We start from the raw sequence: 4376 nt of genomic DNA, 5'->3' as shown, positions 1-4376 counted from the left end.
GAGACCAGCCTGGAGAACATGGCAAAACCCTGCCTCTACGAAAAATACAAGAATTAGGATTTGTTGCTTGTATCTGTAATCCCAGCTACTTAGGAGGCTAAGGCAGAAGGATCATTTGAGTGTAGGAGGTGGAGGTTGCAGTGAGCCAAGATCCCCACGCCATTGCACTCCAGCCTGGGCGACAAGAGTGAAACTGTCTCAAAAAAAAAAAAAAAAAAAAAAAAAAAAAAAAAAAGAGAGAGAGATAGAAAAAGGAAGGGAGAGAGGAAAAGTATACTAGCTGGCATTTTTTAAATTGATTTTTAATTTTTAATTTTTTTATGTATTTTTTTTTTGACATAGAGTCTCACTCTATCACCCAGGCTGGAGTGCAATGGCATTATCTCAGATCACTGCAACTTCTGGCTCCCAGGTTGAAGTGATTCTCCTGCCTCAGCCTCCCAAGTAGCCAGGATTACAGGCACCCGCCACCACACTCAGCTAATTTTTTTGTATTTTTAGTAGAGATGGGGTTTTGCCATGTTGGCCAGGCTGGTCTCAAACTCCTGACCTCAGGTGTTCCACCTGCCTCGACCTCCCAAAGTGCTGGGATTACAGGTGTGAGCCACCGCACCCCACCTAATTTTTTTTTTTTTAGGCTCGATCTTGCTCTGTTGCCCAGGCTGGAGTGCAGTGTCGTGATCTTGGCTCACTACATCTTCCATCTCCTGGGGTCAAACCATTCTCCTACCTCAGCCTCCTGAGTAGCTGGGAATACAGGCTCACACCACCACACCCGGCTAATATTTGCAATTTGGTAGAGATGGGGGTCTCACCATGTTGCCCCAGCTGTGTAGGACTCCTGAGCTCAAGTGAACTGCCTGCCTCAGCCTCCCAAAGAGCTGGGATTACAGGCATGCATCACTGCACCTGGCTGGGCCCATAATTTTAAAAGGGTTATAAAAGCAGAGAATGAGGAGGATGACATATAACAGGGAGGGTGGGATGCTTGAAAGTGGGGAACCCAAGGAGTGGGGAATGCTTTGCAGGGGAGGAGGAGAAGCAAAAGGCATGGAAGGTGTTGAGGCCAAGGTGAAGGCTGCCTTTGGCTCTCTGAAGGTTGGCTGAAAAGAACTGATAGGAAGCAGATTAGCAGGAGAAAAGGCTTACAAATGTCTTTAACCTGAGCATGGGGAGAGCCAGTGATCGCCCATCCCCCAAGGGGGTTCAGAAGCTTATATGTTCTCCTGGCAAACTGATTATGGGAGGGGGCTAGAGGAATTCCATTGAGGGCAATAAAGGATTACTAGAGAGCATGAATGGGTCCTGGAAATCATTCCTATTGACAGTGATGGGATCTGTTCAGGTGTGGTTACATTCTTTGTCTCACAGGGAGGAGAAGAAAAAACAATTATTCCTCTTGGCAGGTCTGGATCTTACACAGATAAAGGCCTGTGCTTTGGAAGAGATGATCGGGGGAGGTCAGAGACCTTGAGGCTCATTTATTTATTTCTTATTATTTTTTGAGACAGAGTCTCGCTCTGTTGCCCAGGCTGGAGTGCAGTGGTGTGACCTCGGCTCACTGCAACCTCCGCCTCCCAGATTCTCCTGCCTCAGCCTCCCAAGTAGCTGGGATTACAGGCGTGTGTCACAGCACCCAACTAATTTTCTTTTTCCATATTTTTAGTAGAGACAGGGTTTTGCATGTTGGTCGGTCTGGCCTTGAACTCCTGACCTCAAGTGATCTGCCTGCCTCGGCCTCCCAAAGTGCTGGGATTACAGGCATGAGCCACTGCACCCGGCCCTTGAGGCACCTTTAACATGCTGTATTTAGAGGTATCAGTTTCTGAGCCCCAACAAGGGGGAGAGGGTCATGAAGAGGGAGGACTCTAGAAGAGGGACAGGTCAAGGACTAAGAGGATGAAAGGAGGAAGACCAGACCAGGCACAGTGGCTCACGCCCATGATCCCAGCATTTTGGGTGGCCAAGGCAGGAGGATTGCTTGAGGCCAGGTGTTCAAGACCACCCTGCGCAACATAGGGAGACCCCGCCTCTACAAACAATAAAAAATTAGCAGGGCATGGTGGTACATGCCTGAGGTCCCAGCTACTTGGGAGGGTGAGGGGGGAGATTGCTTGGAGGGGCCGGGTTGTCGAGGCTGCAGTGAGCTGTGATCGTGCCACTGCATTCCAGCCTGGGTGACAGAGCAAGACCAGTCTCAAAAAATAAAAATAAAAATTAGACGTGCATGGTGGCATGTACCTGTTGGTCCTAGCTACTTGGAAGGGTGAGGTGGGAGGATCACCTGAGCCTGGGGAAATTTATTTGGGCTGCAGTGACCTATGAGTGCATCTTGGCATTCCAGCCTGGGTGACACAGCAAGACCCTGTCAGAAAGAAAGAAAGAGAGAAAGAGAGAGAGAGAGAGAGAAAGAAAAGGAAAGAGAGAGAGAGAAAGAAAGAAAAGAAAGAAAGAAAAAGAAAGAAAAGAAAAGAAAGAAGGAAACAAGGAAAGAAGGAAGGAAAGAAAGAAAGAGAGATAGAGAAAGAAAGGAAGAGAAAGAAGGAAGGAAGGAAAGAAAGAAAGGTGAGAGAGAGAGAAAGAAACAGAAATAGATAAAGAGAGACAGAAAGAAAAAGAAAAGAAGGAAAGAAAGAAAGAAACGAAAATGAGAAAGAAAGGAAAGAAAGAAGAGAAAGAAAAGAAAGAAAGAGCGAGCGACCAGGGCAAGAATATGTGACGGACTGTGCTTGATGGTGAGGTATTGTTCCTCACAGGAGGGCATTAGCTGCCAGGGGCCGCCCACAGACCCTGACCCAAACAACGGCTGAATAAAACGCACACTGACACACAGATATTCTGCTTTGCCAGTCCAGCTGAGTGTCAGTGTACGAGAATGTTTCAAATATTTACTCTGTGGCTCTTTCCATAAAATGTTGCTGACCCTGAAGGTTAAACTTTGAGCCCCACCCAGAATCTCTAGAGCAGTCATGCTAAAAGTACCCAGTCTTTGAGGGAAGTTTGAAGGATTGGGTTCCTGGCAAAGAAGAGGGCTGAGCCAGGGCAGCTTATACTCACGGGAAGAATTCAAGGACTTGGATGCTGAATTTACCCTGGTATCTGTAGGATCAAAGGTGTTTGTGGTATCACCCGATGGGCGTCCATAGACAAGGCAGGTGGGGGTTTTTGGCAACTGTGGATAGCACAAGAGTGGCCTGTAGAACAAAGGGACATTGTGGTTCATTCTTTTATTTCTTATTTTTTATTTTTTTTTTAAATTATTATTATTATTATTATTTGAGACGGAGTCTTGCTCTGTTGCCAGGCTGGAGTGCAGTAGCACGGTCTTGGCTCACTGCAACCTCCCCCTCCTGGGTTCAAGCGATTCTCCTGCTTCAGCCTCCCAAGTAGCTGGGATTACAGGCATGTGCCACCACGCCCGGCTAATTTTTTTGTATATTTAGTTGAGATGGGGTTTCACCATGTTAGCCAGGCTGGTCTTGAACTCCTGACCTCGTGATCCACCCGCCTCGGCCTCCCAAAGTGCTGGGTTTACAGGCGTGAGCCACTGCACCTGGCCTAAATTATTATTATTATTATTATTATTATTATTTGAGACACAGTTTCACTCTGTCCCCAGGCTGGAGTGCAGTGGCACGATCTCGGCTCACTGCAACCTCCGCCTTCTGGGTTCAAGCAATTCTCCTGCCTCAGCCTTCCGAGTAGCTGGGATTACACCTGCCCGCCACCACGCCTGGCCAATTTTTGTATTATTAGTAAAGAGGGAGTTTCACCATATTGGCCAGGCTGGTCTCAAACTCCTGACCCCAAGTGATCCGCCCACCTTGGCCTCCCAAAGTGCTGGGATTACAGGCGTAAGCCACCGCACCAGGCCTTGGGAGACTGAGGTGGGAGAATCGCTTGAACCCAGGAGGTGGAGGTTACAGTGAGCCGAGATCGCACCACTGCACTCCGGCCTGGGCGACCAGAGTGAAACCCTGTCCCACAAAAAAAAAAAAAGATAAACTAATGATTCCTTCTAGGGAGATATAGATGATATCAGAGAGCACATTTTGTAAGAACACATAACAGAGTGAGAAAAGCCCCACCGTAGGGGAATTACCCTCCCCGCCCATTCATCAGGTGAGGAAGTTGAGACCAGGAACAGTGGGGACACGAGGGGTGGCTTCAGTCAATAGTTCGCCCAGGGAGGAGGCTGGGTGCAGGGCCAGCATCGGTGTCTCCACGTATTCACAGCCCCTGGACTGGGAATTCACACCCAGCCCCCTAGACTATGGTTCACACTCATACCCTAGCTGGCTGGGTGCAGTCCTCGCCCTTTTCCCTCCTGTTTCCTCTGGGAACTTTCTCTGGGAACTTCTTTCTCTCTCTCTCTC

At 48.4% G+C, this 4376-nt stretch overlaps 1 annotated feature.

Moving 5' to 3' along the window:
• Positions 925-1718: an enhancer, noted in NCBI's record as "OCT4-NANOG-H3K27ac-H3K4me1 hESC enhancer chr19:54146969-54147762 (GRCh37/hg19 assembly coordinates)". NCBI's record gives its function as "activates a minimal SCP1, AML or CMV promoter by ChIP-STARR-seq in naive H9 embryonic stem cells {active_cell/tissue: H9 hESC(naive)}" and the evidence as "EXISTENCE:reporter gene assay evidence [ECO:0000049][PMID:30033119]".

Source organism: Homo sapiens, chromosome 19 (assembly GCF_000001405.40).
Source record: "Homo sapiens chromosome 19, GRCh38.p14 Primary Assembly".
In the NCBI taxonomy this organism is placed as follows: Eukaryota; Metazoa; Chordata; class Mammalia; order Primates; family Hominidae; genus Homo; species Homo sapiens.
Note: the sequence above shows the minus strand (reverse complement) of the source record. Positions and strands in the feature narration are given on the sequence as shown.